The 20,658-nt window shown below is 41.4% G+C and overlaps 1 protein-coding gene across 1 annotated transcript in view; it reads right to left on the bottom strand.

Moving 5' to 3' along the window:
* The window catches only part of ANKFN1 (ankyrin repeat and fibronectin type III domain containing 1), a 470,940-nt gene that overhangs the window by 436,407 nt on the left and 13,875 nt on the right, over window positions 1–20,658 (bottom strand). The window lies entirely within an intron of this gene.

Raw genomic sequence — 20,658 nt, 5'->3', positions numbered from 1 at the left:
TTAGGAGTATAGGGAGGATTAAATGAGTGAATTAGTATAACATTCTGAGAATGGAGAATGACACACAGAAAAGCTTAGCAACATCCTTGTGCCACTCAACGATTATCTTGGACAAGCTTCTCTTTTATTTACACAGATGCACCTCATTCTTATTAGTGGCTGAATAATATTCCTGAATCCTGAATCTTGTGGATTAGCCATAATTTCTTTAATAATTCCCTTACTGTTGGGCATTGAAGTTGTCTCTGGTTTCTCCCAATTACAAGTCAAGTAATAGCAAACAATCCTTGTACATATATTCTTACATACTTGGAAGGAAATCTATAAGATAGATACCTGACTGATTATCAAAAGACAAGCACATTGAATACTTTGACAGGTACTGTTAATTGCTCTCTGAAAAGACTGTATGGTCCTAATTTGGACTTCAGCATCATGAGATGAGAGTATCTGTCTCCCTCATTTCCATATCAACATTAAAAATTGAAAATCTTTTACACTTTTGCCAGTCTGATAGGTGAAAAACGTATTTTCTTGTTTTATTTGCATTTCCATTAATCTCTGAGTAACCAAGCCTTTTTTGTTTCTTGTTTCTCAGACATTCATCTCTCCGCTTTTGTGACTTGCCCAACTGTTCCTTTCCTCTGAGTTACTTTGTTGACATGTCTTTTAATTTATTTATTATAAATAGATTACCCTGCCCTCTTATGTGTCTTTTAGCCTATTGAGAGTACCTCCCACCTTACAGAGGTTAAATTTCCATGTGCTCAAATGTGCCAATGTTTTTTACAGAAACTAGATTCAGAGTTCTGTGCATGTAGGCAGTGCAAAAAGGGAGTCACCACCTTGTCACGTTCTGATGCAAAGCTCCCTTTTATCCTCAGAACTGTGATATTTTTTACTGGCCCCAAACTCTTTATCTGCCTAGAGCAGGAAGCTTCTTTTTTTGTCATTTCTCTTTTTCTTTATCCAGCCCAGTCCTGATAGTTAGAGTCTTAGACAATGTCTAATCTACAATCTCATTCTCACAGTGTCTTTCACATGGGTCTTTCCTCTCCTCTTCTTTCTGACTCTATTTCTTCTTTTCACTTATTTTGACTGTGCCTGGCTTGTGAGGATGAATGGGGCAGGTCAGCTTCCAGGAGCTTGTGCCATCATCTGGCTGTGGTCACTTCTCTGCTAGGCCCCACTGCTGGTATCATCCTCTGTTTGGTCTTGGCACTAATGATGCTGGTTCTGGCTCTGACTAGTTGCTAGGTATGTGATTGGAGCCAGTATGGTGGGGAGGCAGAATGGAAGTGTCTACGTTTTCAAACTGTTTTAGTGCATTGGGAGTGCTTTCTGATGCTATGGAGGCATCTAAGAAGTGAATCATTCTCAAGCAGCATCTGTTTCTGCTGCCTTGTGGCATGAAAGGCCTCCTCGGGGGCAGTTATCTTTCCTTTTGGCCCTCGTCACACTCCTTATGAGAAACAACCTTTGGCTCCTTTTCCACAGATAGACTTCAAGCTCTGGCAGCAGGGTTTAGAAGAATGAGCTGGCCCTATTTGTCAGCCCCACTCGTTTAAGAGCTACAGGGAACTTGGATGGAGTCTTCTGCCCTCTTGATCACTCTAAAATGCTGGCTTGTCCCATCCTGCCAGTGTGGTGTACTTTGAAAATCCTCCTGTCTCTAAAGTGAGAGCTGTTTGCTATGTGTCCTCCGTGGGTGAGGTGGCTAGGAGAGACTTAACACCTCACCAACTGTGCTTTACTCAAGAAAATAAGTCTTCCTCCTTTTCTCCACATACATCGAGACTCAGAAAGGGTGATGTTCCCACACAGCTTCTGGAGAGAACCACTGCTGAGTGATGTAAATATTCCAGAGATACATTTTGGATCCTTTTGTCTGTCAGCTCCACGATGCCTGCCCAGGGTATCTGTGTTTCTGTGACTTTCAGAAAGAGAGGACTTATTATGAGAATAATAATAAGAGTGTTCACTTATTGAGCATTTCTGGAGTTCTGCATTCAGTATAGTGGAATAATTACCCAGCAATCTGACATGCACAAACAACAGTTATAAACTCTGGGCAAAATATTAAAAGACACAATATACGCAAAGACTATGGACAGCTAACAAAGGTATGTGGATTTTAGATGGGAGCTAAAACTTGGAAGAAGAGATCAACAGAGCATGAGCTCCCCCATTTTTTTCCTGCAATTTTGTCCTAGGAATGGTCCATAGTCATGGTATGACACAGGCTGGCTGAAGGCATAAGAGAAGATTCACCATCTCTGTGGCCTAAGGAATTGAAGATAGAACCCAAGGTGACCAGGGCTTCAAGAAAGGGAAGAAGGAAGCCCAGAAAGGAAAATGATGGAGTAGGGGAGCCCCAGTTTCTGTGTCAACTCTGGCCAGGTCTGTGCCTTACTCTCAAATCACATATGCATGAAGAAGACTAAAAGTAGCCCAGCTAAAAGAGTTGAACTGAGATTTGAGCTGCTGCCTACCACAGGTGTCTTACTAGACAGAGTATGCAATTTGAATCTAAACAAATTTACTGCCCGCTACAACAAAAACATTAACACTATTTAGAGGAATATAACAGAATCTAGAATCTCCACGGCATACCAACACAATGACTAGAATACAATCTAAAATTTCTCCATGAAATAGAGATAACAAAAACTTCTTCTTAAGAGTGGTTATGAGACTTAAACGAGATGATGTATTTAGCATAGTGTTTGTAAAGTAAGTGGCATGCAGCTAATGGATGAGTGACAACCTGTCTCTCCTTGGTTCTGGAGGTGATATCACAGGAAACTCCCACCAAGAGGCTGCCAAATGCAGTAAACATTCCAAGGTGGGAGAGAAAGCACATCTGTCATTACCAGCACATTTAGGATCCAGAACCCTAGAAGTAGGGGCAAGGCATACGTTGAAAGGAAGATCAGCACTTGAGTTACTTGTCAAAGTTGCCAATGAGTTGGCCAGAGAAGGGGAGTAAAGACTGGTTTAGAAAATGCACAAAATAAGCCAAATGTGAAAACAATAGGAGCCAGAAGGCCAGTCCAAAAAGTGCCAGGAGGGTAAAAAATCACACACAGGTATGTACATGTCAGGGCTGGAATAAAGACAAGAGCAGGGCCACTTATGAAAAAGTTGGTGAGGGCCAAGGATTTGAGAATTTGGGAAGGCAGGTTTAGATCGGGTCCATAGGTTGCAGCTGAATTTTCCTTGTGATGGTGGACATATTTTGGCTATCCATGAAGGGCATCCTAGCCCTGCAACCCAAGGTTCTTTATCCCTTTATTGTCTCAAGAGGAAAGCATTTCAGAGGATGAATCAAGGGTTACTATTACCCTCCATGGGTAAAATGGAAGAATACAATGGTTGACCAATACAGTGGGGAAGTCTGTCTATTCTAGATGAAGAAGTATCCCCTTCCCAATTCAGGACCAAGGCCAGCATAAGGCCAAGTTTAATTTCTCTCCAATATTATCTACCTGCCTCACACAACAAAGCCATTGATAACATTTGGTTTGGGTGGATAAGTCTCCTTGTGTTGCTGTTACTCCTACTCAGTGTTAGATCAAAGTTTTACTTCCTTATTGAAAAATAGATACCATAAGAATATAAAATCTTAGCAAAGATTTTATTTCTACTAACTTTAATACCACAACCCTAGAGATATCCCAGAAATCAAATCTATCATAAGACTGATGCAATTCTTATTTTTGGAAAGGTAGGTTGGTGACAAACAGAAGAGAATGCTACCTGATGATGTTTACTCAAAAATATTTTAGTTTTTTTTCTTGTCTTTCTGCTTTCTCCACCAAATTACCTGCATATGATAATAATTATAATAATTATTAAATTGTATCAAATAGTACGCTGGTTGCATTACAAAAGTTACTTCATTTAGTCCTTATAACAATACTATAAGGTAGAGGCTATTGTTATCAATCCCATTCCACAGATGGAGAAACGGAAGCTTAAAGAAAGCAAGCTGCATTTGAAGGGCACACAGTAAGCGGCAGAGTCAGGATCCAAACACAGCAATGTGGATTTAGAGATGGTAATATTAATCATTGTTCTCTGCTATCCCCATGTAGTGCCCCCATAGTAGAGGCTCACTAAGTGAGGGTAATTATAACAATAATGACAATTATACCTTCATAACATAGTGAAGGCAATTCCATCATGCATTGTCAATGTATTAATTCAACTAGCAGATTATGCAAATGTGCTGAGAGCTTGTATAATGAAAATGTGCTTCCAAAATGTGAAAAATAAACAAAATCATTTATCTCTCCATGTACTTCTGCAATACCCATCTCTGGTATAGTAGCAGCACCTGGTGTCCTGTGGGTGTTGAACAAATGCATATTAATTTATGGCTCACACTGGTTATAGAACAAAATGATATAAATATTACTAGTAATATTACAATTGTCATGGTTGAGAATTCCATATTACAGAAAAGTGCTATTGAAATGTTAGAGTACAGAATGGACCTTACAGAAGTTCAGACTGAATGACCTTTCCAAAATTTAGCAAAGTCCAAATTGTGTATCAGAGATAGGTAGAGATGCCAGAGCAATTAGTTCTGTTCTGCCCTGTAATGGTTCAAGAGGGTTAGTCTGTCTTTGAGAACCAGCATTTTCTGAAAAATGTGTCAAGCCTCTCAGTCTTGTCGTCAAGTTTGTCCAATTCAGAAATTGTACAAGGGGATGAAAAACTATCACTCGCCTATGTCTGCCGTCAGTGCTTGACATGGTCAGTCTTCAGGATCCCAGTTAACTTCTGTTTGAGAAAGCTTGCAGAACTAGGAACAAAATAATTACTAATGCACAATGTACCAGGCTGCAGTGTTCCAGCCCTTCTTCCCTTTCATGTTAAATTCACTGCCTTAACTAAGTGGCCCTTTGCAAAGCCTGCCTTGTGACTAATAGGCCTTTGATCAGGTTTTGCTTCCTGACAGCTATACATATAAATGAATGTTTATCCCAATTATGTAATGAACATTGATTCTTTCTACCTTCTGACTGCAAAGGGGCCCCTCATCTCAAAGTACCTCCATTGTTCTTATGCCATGAATAATATTTTTCATTTGGAAGAACTCTGCTTGGGGCTGGAGCATGTGCAATTTAGGACACTATGGAGAAAAAGAGCCAAACTTGAGGAGATGCTGAGAACAGATTTTCTAAAATTTGTTAGCATACTCTAGTTTGGGCAAGAAAACTGCAACTTTTGAACACCTGCAATTACTAGTATGCAAGGTACTTCACGTACATTGTTACATTCTAACTACACATTAACCTTATGGGTTAAGCATCGTTAGTTCCACTGTACAGAGAAGGAAAATGAAGCTAGGGGCTAAATGACCTACTCATGGTTATGTGGCTTGTCAGTGGCTGAATCACAATTAAAATAGCACAATTCCAGGTGCTACATGACTCCACAGTTTTATTTTCCTGATAATTTGGACTCTCATGATCTCTTCCTCATACAGCAGCAATAGTACTGGGCTTGAGGTTTGGGTCTGTTTCCTGCTAGCTTAATGACCTTGAGTAAGTTCCATATCATTTTTAATCTGGACCTCTTCATCTGCAAAATCAAGATCCACCAGCACCTTCTTGCTTTACCTGACAAGGTTGTTGTGAACCTGATTTGCACATGATAACATGCTGTACAAAATATGGTGGGTTATTGGCATGCTTACAAACAGCCTTTGTGGCTGGCTCTGCTCCGCTCTGACTCTCCCTTTGCTGCTTCCCTTTCCTGACTCTCCTAAAGCAACACTTGGGTACGCTTTGCCAATAACAGATTTATTTTCATTATTAAGGATGATTCTGTCTTGAAGTTGGAACAGAAATGGCAATTGAATGTGCTTTCTTGGGAATTTCAAATATTCCATTTTTCTGGGAGAAAGAAGAAATAGGAGCTGATGGAACAGCAATTAAATCCATAGTTTAAAAACAAATGCTACTAAGGCACAGATGATATCATGCAACAGTTGGAATTTCTCCTGTTTTCTCAGGCTCGTGGAGCAGGGGCAGCCCTATGAAATCCCTCACCAGCTGTCAGCGCCTGTTTCAGAAGCTGCCACTCCCAGGCATTTCTTTAGCAAATTACTCTCTCCAACTCAAACCTGTTGTACTTAGCTCCTAGTAGAACCCAGGAAACCATGAGGGGGCCTGGTGCTGCTTCAGCCATCAAGGGCTCACGCAGTGTCAGAGGGGTCTCGCTCCATGTGGCAGTTCCCTGGAATGGAGACTCATTGATCATTCAACAGGAACCATTAATGGAGCCGTGGGTGCCCCTGCAGGTTATATCCGCTGGGTCCCTCTAATGCCAGGTGAGTTGACATGCCTACAGGAGATGAGAGGAAACTGTAGCCTGTCTAGTCAGTGCCTCTTCTCACATGCCACTAAAATCCCTGCATATTTTATCCAGAGAGGAAGCTACTCAAGGGAAAAACTGAAGAAGAGAATGATCCAAATTGAGCAAGTGATTTCCCAGGGTTCAAAAACCTCCTACCAAGAAAATAGTTTGACAGTTCCTCAAAAAGGGAAACACAGAATTACCATATGACCCAGAAATTCTACTCCTAGGTATATACCCAAACGAATTGAAAACAACCTCTGAAACAAATCTTTATACACAAATGCTCAAGTAACACAATCTCCAAAAGGTGGAAACAACCCAAATACTCATCAATGGATAGATACACAAATCATGATATTTGCATACCATGATCTCATTCAGCCATAAAAGGAACGGACTACTGATACGTGCTGGAAGTGGATGAAACTTACAAACATTATGCTAAGTGAAACAGATCAGACACAAATACATATTGTATGATTCTGTTCACATAAAATATCCAAAATAGGTAAATCCACAGAAACAGAAATCAAATTGGTGGTCACCAGGGACTGAAGGGAAGACAGAATGAGGAGTAACAGCTTAATTGGTAAGAAGCTTTATTTTGGAGTGACAAAAATGTTTTGAAACTATACATAGGTGGTGGTTCTACAACATTATGAATATACTAAATACCAATTAATTTTAAAGCGGCTAATTTTGTGTTCTATGAATGATATTTCTTTAAAGAAAAACACTACTAAAAGTCTGCTGCTTCCTTTGAAATGCATAAAATATAAAGATGAACTCACAAATGAACAGACATAAATATGGAACAAAGCACGAAAAGTAACATGCTAATTGTAGAACCCAGGTGGTAGACACGTGAGTATTCACTGTAAAAGTCAATGTTTCGATGTGTTTGAAAATTTTCATAATAAAACGTTAGGATGTTAAGAAAATAATAGGCCGGGCGCGGTGGCTCACGCCTATAATCCCAGCACTTTGGGAGGCCGAGGCGGGCGGATCACGAGGTCAGGAGATCGAGACCATCCCGGCTAAAACGGTGAAACCCCGTCTCTACTAAAAATACAGAAAATTAGCCAGACGTAGTGGCGGGCGCCTGTAGTCCCAGCTACTTGGGAGGCTGAGGCAGGAGAATGGCGTGAACCCGGGAGGCGGAGCTTGCAGTGAGCCGAGATCCCGCCACTGCACTCCAGCCTGGGCGACAGAGCGAGACTCCGTCTCAAAAAAAAAAAAGAAAATAATAAAACCTTACTTATCTCAGCAGACAGTTAGAAAGGAGGTACCAAAATCCTGCTTTCTAATATGGGTCTTCTGGTCTTGGTCCTGGCCAGGATACATTTGGGAATTTCTCAGGATAAATTTTTTGGGCTTTGTCCACTGCACATATTCCTTTCCCTTTCCCCACCTTCTCCTCTCCTCATCTGCACTTCACCCATCTGTAGATAATGCCATCTTTTCATGATAATAACTGCGACTTACACACCTCAGTTACAGGCCAGAGCCTGTGCTAGGTGACTTACATTGATTGTCTCCAATTCTGAAAACACTCAAAGTGAGTTACCGAAGAGAAAGCTGCTACAAGGATAGCAACATCAGACACAAGAGTACATATATTTCATATAAGTAGGTTGTATATAAAGTAGGAAAAGAGACAGACAAAACGAATTTATGCTGTTAAAAGGGAAGATCATGCTACCTTTGGGAGGTAGCATTAGAAGGTCTCATGAACGGGGGTTCTGGGAATTTTCCTGGAATGGAGGCTCATTGAACATGCAATAGGAACCATTAACTGAGCTGCGGCAGTACTGTTTTGTTTCTTGATCTAGTGTTGATTACACTTGTGTAATCAAGTGTATTTACTTTGTGGAAATCCATTGCGCTATACTATGTGTGCCTTCTTATACGTACACTACATATCAATAAGAGTTAAAAAAGGAAATGAATGAAAGACAGTTAAGTAAAATTAATCAGTAAACTAGAAGCCAATTTACTGAACAGATTAATTGAAAAAATAAGAAGAAAGTGAAAACACAAGTGATTAATATTAGGAATAAGAAGAGATATAACTACCAATACAGAGAGAGTTAACATTTTGCAGCAGAATACTGTATACAGATTTATCCCAATAGCCTCAAAAATCTTACTGACATGGATGCTTTTCTAAGAAAATGACTAAAACTAAGATTGCAAGGGCGCAGCAACCAATCACAGATGTGGCTGCTGCCTGGAGTCTGAACAACAGCAGAATTCACAAATCCCTGGTCTCTTGCTGTGCCCGGAGGGCCCAGAACATGCACTCAGAATGACCAATCAGCAAATGGCTAGGGACCACTGTGAATGGTGAGTGCCTTGTTCTGCAGAAACTCCAAAACCCTGCCTATAAAAGGTGGTGAAAGTCACTGTGGTTAGAGTCTAAATCCATTTCTTATGAAATTGCAAAGCACTGGGATATGTCCTTGTCTTGGTTGCCTTCCCAAAGCCAGGTGAAGACTAGATTAGACTAGGATGGCTCAAACCTATTGAACAGGTGTGAAGTTACACTGGGAGATGGATATAATGTTTTTGTTGTAATAGATATCCTTTTATAAAAACAAACAAACAAACAAACAAAAAACAAGAAGCCACCTTTTGTCCACTTTACAGGCAGTTGGAAATGTTATTTTGGCATTAGGTTGATTCTTAAAGAAAAGTCAACCCAGTTGATATGTAAAGGAGGGAATACAACAAATGTTAAGTTTGGAAAATAATCCATTAGTATCTAGGCAGAGTATTATTGAGGGAGTTTTTCTTTTAGCTGGAGAACCCCTGTAAGGCCTAACTTTATACTCCAAGGTCAGAGAGAAACTTCTTCAAACAGGAAGAGTCATTGCAGAGGGAATCACAAGGATGAAAGAGAACCAAAGTTTATGGGGTTAAGTAGGGGTTGAGCAACCTGAACTTTCCTGGTAAATACAGAAAGGCAGTTTTTGCAATGAGAGCAAAACTCAGCCCAGAAATGGGTGCAAAATGAAAAAGAGAAGGGATCCTTCCTTGGAATGGTTGTGGAGGGGGAGGCTTTTGTGAGGTGTTGGTGGTGTTAGAAAGGAGTTTCTATGTCAAATATAGAATCAGTCAGAGAGAAGCTTGTTTGTTTAAGGTTAGAGCATACTTGCAGGATGAAGGGAAGGATCAAGTCAAAAATGTTAAAAATGCAAAAGAGACAAGGCACGGTGGCTTATGCCTGTAATCCCAGCACTTTGGGAGGCTGAGGTGGGCAGATCATGAGGTCGAGAGATCGAGACCATCCTGGCCAACATGGTGAAACCCCATCTCTACTTAAAATACAAAAAATTAGCTGGGCGTGGTGGTGTGCACCTGTAGTCCCAGCTACTTGGGAGGCTGAGGCAGGAGAATCGCTTGAACACGGGAGGTGGAGGTTGCAGTGAGCTGAGATCGCGCCACTGCACCCCAGCCTGGTGAGAGTGAGAGTACGTCTCAAAAAAAAAAAGAAAAAAATACAAAAGAGAAAATGGACATTATCAACAGAACAAGATCCTAGATTCAGGAATATGAGACAACATGGACTCAAAAGGAAGGTTTGGCTTTGGAGAGGTGGCAGGTTAAGAGAACAAACATAAACCTCTATAGTGAGGGTGTACAGTGGCCCCAAAAAGGTATATTCATTTCTTAGCCCCCAGTACTCATGAATGTGACCTTATTTGGGAACAGTCTTTAAAGATATAATTAAAGATCTCCAGAGTAGATTATTCTGAATTGAGGATGGGCCCTAAATCCAATAACTGGTGTCCTTATAACAAAAAAGAGTGGAACATTTGACACAGGCACAGGGGAGACACATAGGGGAAAGGGCCATATAAAGAAGGCGACAGAGTCTGGAGTCACACAGCTCCATGCCAAGGAACTCCTGGAGCCACCAGAAGCTGGAAGAGGCAAAGAACAATTCTCCTCTAGAGCCTTCTCCCCTAGAGGAAGGGCAGTCCTGCCCGGACACCTTTGTCAGAGGTGTTTGAACCAGAGCAACTCCATGTTGAGTAGGGGTGAGGTAAAATGAGGCGGAGACCTACTGGGCTGCATTCCCAGATGGTTAAGGCATTCTAAGTCACATAATGAGATAGGAGGTGGGCACAAGATACAGGTCATAAAGACCTTGCTGATAAAACAGGTTGTAGTAAAGAAGCTGGCAAAATCCCACCAAAACCAAGATGGGCAAGAGAGTGACCTCTAGTTGTCCTCACTACTATACTCCCATCAGCACCATGACAGTTTACAAATGCCATGGCAATGTCAGGAAGTTACCCTATATGGTCTCAAAAGGGGAGACATGAATAATTTACCCCTTATGTAGCATATAATCAAGAAATAACCATAAAAATGACCAACCAGCAGCCCTAGGGGCTGCTCTGTCTATGGAGTAGCCATTCTTTTGTTCCTTTACTTTCCTAATAAACTTGCTTTCACTTTACTGTATGGACTCGCCCTGAATTTTTTCTTGTGGGAGATCCAAGAACCCTCTCCTGGGATCTGGATCCAGGTCCCTTTCCAATAACACCTTCATTTCAGGATTCTGGCCTTTAGATCGTGGGAGAATAAATTTCTGTTTTCTAAGCCACCTAGTTTGTGGTAATTTCTTATGGCAGCCCCAGGAAACAAACATACCCTCCAAACTCCAGTTCAAAAATTGACCTAGTAGAGGGAGCAAACCAAGATGCACCAACATACTTCAGAGATATAACCTCATTCAGTGGTTTGCTTAGGAGGAATGTCCAGTTGTCACAGTGAAACCTTGTTCCTGGAATACTCGTGCCTGTGTCAACCTCTCCCTTAAATGTACTCTTCATGGTCAAGGTCCAGTCTCAGGTCAGCCTTTGCTTTTCACTGTTTTAACTGGCATTTCGCGCTGTACCCCAGACACTCCATCCCCATCACTTTAGATACAAAGCATTAAACCCTCTGGTCTCTCTCTTCTTGCCACATAGGTTTATATGAAAAATCCAATTAAACAGGCCAGGAAAAAGTTTTATTATATATGAAACTTCTGCTCCCCAGTTTTTATTCAAACAACAGTATTGTTCTTTGTGAGCACCCACACAAACATTTTCATGGTTGGCCTAAATTACTGCTAATTCCTTCCACTTAAGTTCCATTTCCTCAATTCCTCATGACTTAATGTGCCACCAATTACACAATAATGAGGCACTAATAATCTTTCATTTGAATCATTTTAACTCCCTAGCTGAGATTCATAGGAGGGGGACATTAATTCTATATATCTAATTCATTGAGAAATTCCCATTCTAGAATCAACATACATCATGTAGATTTCAAAGAGGGTTTTAGAAATACATACGTGATAAAGGAATACATTCATTTACTCTGTCTGTATTTAACACCTACTCTCTACCAGGTATTTTGCCAGGTGTTAGAAATATGTGTATGAATGAGAGGAAGGAGTGTGACCTTCAAAGAACTCATTGTCTCATGTGTAGTTGGGGAAAAGGCATTTCATTGAACGATATGAATACAATATGAAAAAGATTATCCTGCAATGTAAACGGTGCTGCTAAGGAGTCTTGAGAAGGGAGTGTTTCTGGAGAAAGAGTTTGTGGAATTGTGCTGGACAGTTTCTGCTTGCCCTCTAAATCTTTCACTACCTTCTTCCACCTGCTGTGTGCCCTGGGGCTGGTGAGCTCTATGGGCACTCATGCCATTTGCCTTTCAGATAGCTCAGTCAGTGGGAGACAATGGAAAGACATGAGAAGATGTAAGAGGGACATCTCTTTTTCTGCCACACTAGGTGCAGCCACTGCTCTACCTAGAGCACTCTTATGAATCTGGCCATGTCCCAGCAACTCCTTCCTTCTTCCAGCTTCCAGCAGCAGCCTTAGGCTGCTTCACCTTCTCATCTCAATTTCTCTTAACACGGCCCACACCTTTGTAAATAGTTCCATCATTCAACTCCCTTTAACCACTCATTGGAGTGTGACATCTATTTCCTGCTGGGACCCTGATGGATACTGGGGTCAAGGGATGCTTCACAGAGGGGTGACCTTTGAACTACGTCCTGATGAATGGGTAAAGTTTCCCAGATGCATACAGGTGGGATGGGGTCTCCCAGGCCAAGGTTAAAAGAAGTATGAAGGCTGGGAAGCCCAGGAGTGCACCGCATATTTGGGCAGTAATAAGGAATACTTGTCTTCACATAGAGAGGTCTGCAGGGAGTGGCAGAAAAGGAAACTGACAAGCAGAAAGGCCTTAGATGATAGGCTAAGGCTTTGGGGTTTTATTCTGGAAGTGACGAGAAATTCCAAAGACACTGATGACATTCCAATGCCTTGCATCTCTAGATGCCCAGGTCTTTCCAGGAAAACTGTATTCCAGAAATGAGAAGCTGGTGTCGATCTCTGCTCTGAATTTATGCTTTATTGGTTTTTGCACTCTTCCCTGCCTCGTAGTTAATAAAATTTACTCGCAGCTGGTAAGCTGAGGAAAGCTGTTGACTTTTTAAAAAATCAAATTACTTCAAAAGCTTTTCCTTCTCAGTCCCAATTTATTGGGTCTTCTACTTATGCATTAAGGAAGAAAAGGTAACATTCCTCTTGAGAAATGTCACAGTTTCATCTAATTACAAAAACACTTAGCTAAATGTGACAGCCTTTCATAGATCCTTATAATCTTAGTGGTTGATCAGAGCTGAGATTCTTGACTTAGGTCTTAGGGAAGGGGAAGGAGAGAGGCCAAACTAACACCTGGTGAAGGGTAGTTGAGGCTTCATGTATGGGAGTGAGAAAGAGAGGCCATGAGATAAAGAAGGCACCGAGGAAGGCAGAAAAGTTCAGAGCAGCACTGTTCAATAGAGATAAAATGTAAACCACAAATATGAAGTACTCATATAATTTTAAATATTGTAATAAACACAGTCAAGAAAGGAAAAAGAGGTGGAAGCAGTCCAAGTGTCCACGGATGGATAAATTGATAAACAAAATGTGGTATATATATATAATGGAGTACTATTCAGACTTACAAAGGAAGGAAACTTTTTTTTTTAGATGGAGTCTCACTCTGTTGCCCAGGCTGGAGTGCAGTGGTGCAATCTCGGCTCACTGCAACCTCTGCCTCCCGGGTTCTGCTGATTCTCCTGCCTCAGCCTCCTGAGTGGCCAGGACTACAGGCACTCTCCACCTGGCTAATTTTTCTTGTGTTTTTAGTAGAGATGGAGTTTCACTATGTTAGCCAGGATGGTCTTGATCTCCTGACCTCAGGTGGTCTGCCAGCCTTGGCCTCCCAAAGTGCTGGGATTACAGGTGTGAGCCACCACACCTGGCCTAGGAAGGAAACTTTTTGACACACGTTACAACATGGATGAACCTTGACAATGTTATGAAGTGAAATAAGTCAATTACAAAAAGACAATATGATTCCACTCATATGAGGCATGTAGAGTAGTGAAATTCAGAGCAAGAAAGTAGAATGGTGGTTTCCAGGGGCTATGGGGAGGGGAAGAAGTTGTTTAATGGGTACAGAGTTTGTAAGAAGAAAACAGTTCTGGAGATTGGTTGCACAGCAATCGGTGAATGTACTTAACACTATTGAACCTTAACCTAAAAATGGTTAAGATGATACACGTCATGTTATGCATATTTCACCAAAATTTTTTCAAAAGTAAAAATAAATAGGTAAAATTAATTTTAATAATATATTTTATCTAATCCATTATATGTAAAATAGTTTTGCCTCAATACGCAATCAATGCAAATCTATTCAGATAGTCTACTTTTTTATACTAAGTTATTGAATTCTGGTATGTATATGCACATTTATAGCACATCTCAATTTGGACTGGCCACATTACAAATGCTCAGCAGCCACCTGTGGCTAATGGCTAGCATATTAGACAGCATAGGTACCGAGCACTGAACAGAGGTGGTGGCTCAGCTGGGGTTCTTCTTTCTCTTATAAGTGTACATTGACTTCCCCAATGGTGATATTTCTCCAAGCCTTCTTCCTTTAGGAACTTGCCTTTGAGCACTACCAGGAATGGGAGGTGATCTAAGTGTTTTGTGTAGCACCATGCATGGGTGATCTAAAAGCCATCACAGAACTCTAAGCCAAAAGAGATCAGAAGAGGCCACTGAGCCACCTCCAATGTCTCAGGTAATCCTTTGTTGTTGCTGTTCTGGCCTTTGTTCTAGCTCTAACCTGTTGGTATGTCATCAAGGTGTGGTCATAGGCATAGGCATACCTAATTTTGTTGCTTCACTTTATTGAGCTTTGCAGATATTTTATTTTCTATAAATTGAAGGCTTGTGGCAATTCTGCAGTGAGTAAGTCTATTGGGGCCATTTTTTAAACAGCATGTGCTCACTTTGTGTCTCTGTGCCACATTTTAGTAACTCTCAGAATATTTCAAACTTTTTCGTTATTACTGTATCTGTTATGGTGACCTACAATCAGTGATCTGTGATGTTTCTATTCTTATTGTTTTGGGGTGCCATGAACCATCACTATATGAGACAGATAACTTAAATGGCAAATGTGTGTGTTCTGACTGCTCCACCAACCATTCCCCCATCTCTCTTCCTCTCTTTGGGCCTTCTTATTCCCTGAGACACAACAATATTGAAATTAGGCCAATTAGTAACCCCAAAACAGCTTCTAAGTGTTCAAATAAAGGAAGAATGGCAATTTTCTCACTTTAAATCAAAAGCTAGAAATGATCAAACTTAGCGAGAAAGGCATCTCAGAGGCTGAGATAGGCCAAAAGCTAAGTTCTCGTGCCAAGCTGCAAGACAAGTTGTGAATGTAAAAGAAAAGTTCTTAAAGGAGATAAAAAGTGTTACTCCTATGAGCACATGAATGATAAGAATGCCAAACAGCCTTACTGCTGATATGGAGAAAGTCATACTCATCTGAATAGAAGATAAAACCAGCGACAACATTCCCTTAGGCCAAAGCCTTGTCTAGAGCAAGGCCCTAACTCTCTTCAATTCTGTGAAGGCTGAGAGAGGTGAAGAAGCTTCAGGAGAAAAGATGGAAGCAATAGCATAGATAAGACAATGAGGTGCAGGGCCAAGATGGTCGACTAGAAACAGCAGCAATCTGAGGCTCCCATTGAAAAGAACCATAATAAGCATGAGGATCCTTCACCACCAATGAAGGCATCCAGGTTCTCTCCTCAGAACTGACTAGGCAGCTGCTGTGATCCACGGCGAGGAAGGAAGAACAGTATGGTGCAGTGACCCACCTGAGAGTCCCACGGGCAGGGGAGCCCCCACCCCTGCCAAGGAAGGTGGTGAGTGAATGTGCTACCTAGGTGGGGAAACCATGCTTTTTCCACAGAATTGTGCGACCCACAGATTGGAAGATCCCATTCGTGAATCCACACCACCGGGGCCTAGCATCCCAACCCTGGAGCCGCACAGAGTCTCAACATCCTCTCAGCTGGAATCTGCTTAAGCCTACTTAGCTCCTGGGGGGAGGGGCAACAAGCACCACAGCTGCGGCTGCCTGCTGTCTAAGCCATTTGAGCTCCTTAGGGGAGAGGCAGCAGCCAGTACTTGGAGTCACAAATGCCTAACATGCTAAGCTGCCTGGGTGGGGGAAAGGTGGCATCTATTGCTATAGCTCCAGGCTGTGCTTTTCCCCTGCTGGAGCCAGGGGGCCTGGACGGCTTGGTCTCAAGATGCTGGTCCCACAGCCCAACATACCAGCAGTGGCAGACTGCGGCCAGAGTGCCTCTTCAGGCCTGACCCTGGCTCATCCTTCCTCACTGGGCAGGGCTTCCCTGCAGGGACTCCGATAACTCCAGCCAGAGGCTCAGGGACAGAACCCAGATGTCCCTGGGCCTGAGCCCCTAGCGGGAGTGGTGGCCGCAGTCTCCGCAGACCAGCACACTTAGCCTTTCCTCCTGTTAGTACAGAGGAATATGGGCAGCCCAGACGAGTGGGTTTTCCCCCAGCACAGCACACCCCTTCCATCAAGGGACAAAGTGCTTCATTAAGTGGGTCCTACTCCCCATGCCACCCAACTGGGTGAGACCCTCCAACAGGGGTTGTCAGACATCTTATACGGAAGTGATTCTACTGGCATCAGGTTGGTCAGAGATCCCAGAAGAAGGAGTACGCACCCATCTTTGCTGTTCTCCAGCCTCCTTCAATGACATCTCCAGGTATGAGAGTGAACCAGATGAATAGGGCCTGAAGTGAACCCCCAACAAACTGCAGCAGCCCTACAGAAGAGGGACCTGGCCATTGAAAGAAAAGTAAACAGAAAGCAACAACAACAGCATCATCAACAACAACAAAATCACCCACAAATCTCTATCCAAGGGTCAGCAGCCTCAAAGATCGAAACTAAACAAACTCATGAAGATAAGAAAAAAATGCTGAAAACTCAAAAGGCCAGAGTGCCTTTTCTCCTCTAAATGATCACGATCTCTCTCCAGCAAGAGCACAGAACTGGATGGAGAATGAGATGGATGAATTGACAGAAGTAGGCTTCAGAAGATGAGTAATACAAAACCATGCTGAGCTAAAGGAGCATGTTCTAACCCAATGCAAAGAAGCTAAGAACCTTGATAAAAGGTTAGAGGAACTGCTAACTACAGTAACCATTTTAGAGAGGAACATAAATGACCTGATGGAGCTGAAAAACAGCACAAGTACTTTGTGAAGCATACACAAGTATCAATAGCCAAATCGACCAAGCAGAAGAAAGGATATCAGAGTTTTAAAGACCACCTTGCTGAAATAAGGCATACAGACAAGACTAGAGAAAAAAGGAATGAAAAGGAATGAACAAAGCCACCAAGAAATAAGAGATTTCATAAAAAGACCAAACCTATGATTGATTGGAGTACGAGGAAATGGGAAGAATGGAAACAAGCTGGAAAACACATTTCAGGATATTATCCAGGAGAACTTCCCCAATCTAACAAGACAGGCCAATATGCACATTCAGGAAATACAGAGAACACCACTAAGATACACTATAAGAAGATCAATCCCAAGACATATAATCTTCGGATTCTCTAAGGTTGAAATGAAGGGAAAAATGTTAAGGGCAGCCTGAGAAAAATATTAAGGGCAGCCTGAGAGAAAGGCCACGTCACCTAAAAAGGGAAGCCCATCAGACTAACAGTGGACCTCTCAGCAGAAACTCTACAAGCCAGAAGAGATTGGGGGACAATATTCAACGTTCTTAAAGAAAAGAATTTTCCTCTGAGAATTTCATACCCAGCCAAACTAAGCTTCATAAGCGAAGGAGAAATAAATTTCTTTCCAGACAAGCAAATGCTGAGGGATTTCTTTACCACCAGGCCTGCCTTGCAAGAGCTCCTGAAAGAAGCACTAAATATAGAAAGGAAAAACCAGTACCAGCCACTGCAAAAACACACCAAAATAAAAAATCAATGACACTATGAAGAAACTGCATCAACTAGTGTGCAAAATAACCAGATAGCATCATGATGACAGGACCAAATTCACACTTAACCTTAAATGTAAATGGGCTAAATGCCCCAATTAAAAGACACAGACTGGCAAATTGGATAGAGTCAAGACCCATTGGTGCACTGTATTCAAGAGACCCATCTATGTGTGCAAAAACACTCATAGGCTCAAAATAAAGGGATGGAGGAAAATTTACCAAGCAAATGGAAAGAAAAAAAAAAAAAAGCAGAGATTACAATCCTAGTCTCTGACAAAAAAGACTTTGAACCAACCAAGATCAGAAAAGACAAAGAAGGGCACTACATAATGGTAAAGGGAACAATTCAACAAGAAGGGCTAACTATTCTAAATATATATGCACCTAATACAGGAGCACCCAGAGTCATAAAACAAGTTTTTAGAGACCTACAAAGAGACTTAGACTCCTACACAATAATAGTGGGAGGCTTTAACACCCCACTGTCAATATTAGACAGATCAATGAGAGAGAAAATTAGCAAGGATATTTGGGACTTGAACTCAGCTTTGGATCAAGTGGACCTAATGGACATCTACGGAACTCTCCACTCCAAATCAACAGAATATATGTTCTTCTTAATGTTACGTGGCACTTTTTCTAAAATGGACCACATAATTGGAAGTAAAACACTCCTCAGCAAATGCAAAAGAACTGAAATCATAACAAACAGTCTCTCAGGCCACACTGCAATCAAATTAGAACTCAGGATTAAGAAACTCACTCAAAACCACACAACTACATGGAAATTGAATAACATGCTCCTAAATGACTCCTGGGTAAATAATGAAATGAAGGCAGAAATCAAGAAGCTCTTTGAAACAATGAGAACAAAGAGGCAATGTACCAGAACCTCTGGGACATAGCTAAAGCAGTGTTGAGGGAAACTTACAGCACTAAATGCTCACATCAGAAAGCTAGAAAGATCTCAAATCAACACCCTAACATCTCTAAGAGCTAGAGAGGCAAGAGCAAACTATCCAAAAGCTAGCTAAGATCAGAGCAGAACTGAAGGAGATAGAGTATGAAAAACCCTCCAAAAATCATAAATCCAGGAGGTGTTTTTTGAACAATTTAACAAAATAGATAGATTGCTAGCTAGACTAATAAAGAAGAAAAGAGAGAAGAATTAAATACACACAATAAAAAATGATGAAGGGGATGTCACCACTGACCCCATAGAAATACAAACTACCGGCTGGGTGTGGTGGCTCATGCCTGTAATCCCAGCACTTTGGGAGGCCAAGGTGGGCAGATCACCTGAGGTCAGGAGTTCGAGAACAGCCTGCCCAACATGGAGAAACACTGTCTCTACTAAAAATACAAAAAATTAGCTGGGCATGGTGGCAGGCACCTGTAATCCCAGCTACTCAGGAGGCTGAGGCAGGAGAATCATTTGAACCTGGGAGGCAGAAGTTGCAGTGAGCCAATATCATGCCACTGCACTCCAGCCTGGGTGACAAGAGTGAAACTCCATCTCAAAAAAAAAAAAAAAAAAAAAAAGAAAAACTACCATCAGAGAAATCAGAGAATGCTATACATACCTCTATGCAAATAAACTAGAAAATCTAAAGACATGCATAAAATTCCTGGACACATACACCCTCCCAAGACTAAACCAGGAAGAAGTTGAATCCCTGAATAGACCAATAACAAGTTATGGAACTAAGGCAGTAATTAATAGCCTACCAACCAAAAAAAGCCCAGGACCAGACAGATTCACAGCCAAATCCTTCTAGAGGTACAAAAAGGAGCTGGTACCATTCCTTCTGAAACTATTCCAAACAGTTGAAAAAGAGGGACTCCTCCCTAACTCATTTTATGATGAAGCCAGAATTATCCTGATACCAAAACCTGGAGGAGACACAACTAAAAAAGAAAACTTCAGGCCAATATCCCTGTTGAACATCGATGTGAAAATCCTCTGTAAAATACTGGCAAACTGAATCCAGTAGCACATCAAAGAAATATACACCACGATCAAGTTGGCTTCATCCCTGTGATGCAAAGCTGGTTCAACATACACAAATCAATAAATGTAATCCATCACATAAACAGAACCAAAGACAAAACCCACATGATTATCTCAACAGATGTAGAAAAGGCCTTTGATAAAATTCAACATCCCTTCATGTTAGAAACACGCAATAAACTAGGTATTGATGGAAAATATCTCAAAATAATAAGAGCTATTTATGACAAACCCACAGCCACTATCATATGAAATGGGCAAAAGCTGGAAGCATTCTTTTTGAAAACTGGTACAAGAAAAGGATCCCCTCTCTCGCCACTCCTATTCAACATAGTATTGGAAGTTCTGGCCAGGGCAATCAGGCAAAAGAAATACATAAAGGGCATTCAAACAGGAAGAGAGGAAGTCAAGTTGTCTCTGTTTGCAGATGACATGATTTTATATTTAGAAAACCTTATAATCTCAGCCCCAAAACTCCTTAAACTGAGAAGCAATTTCAGCAAAGTCACAGGATACAAAGTCAATGTGCAAAAATCACAAGTGTTCCTTTACACCAAAAATAGACAAGCAGAGAGCCAAATCATGAATGAACTCCCATTCACAATTGCTACAAAAAGAATAAAATACCTAGGAATACAGCTAACAAGGAATGTGAAGGACCTCTTCAAGGAGAACTACAAACCACTTCTCAAGGAAATAAGAGAGGACACAAACAAATGGAAAAACATTCCATCCTCATGGATAGGAAGAATCAATATTATGAAAATGGCCATACTGCCCAAAGTAATTTATAGATTCAATGCTATTCCTATCAAACTACCATTGACATTCTTCACAGAATTAGA

The sequence above is a fragment of the Homo sapiens genome, chromosome 17, assembly GCF_000001405.40.
Source record: "Homo sapiens chromosome 17, GRCh38.p14 Primary Assembly".
In the NCBI taxonomy this organism is placed as follows: Eukaryota; Metazoa; Chordata; class Mammalia; order Primates; family Hominidae; genus Homo; species Homo sapiens.
Note: the sequence above shows the minus strand (reverse complement) of the source record. Positions and strands in the feature narration are given on the sequence as shown.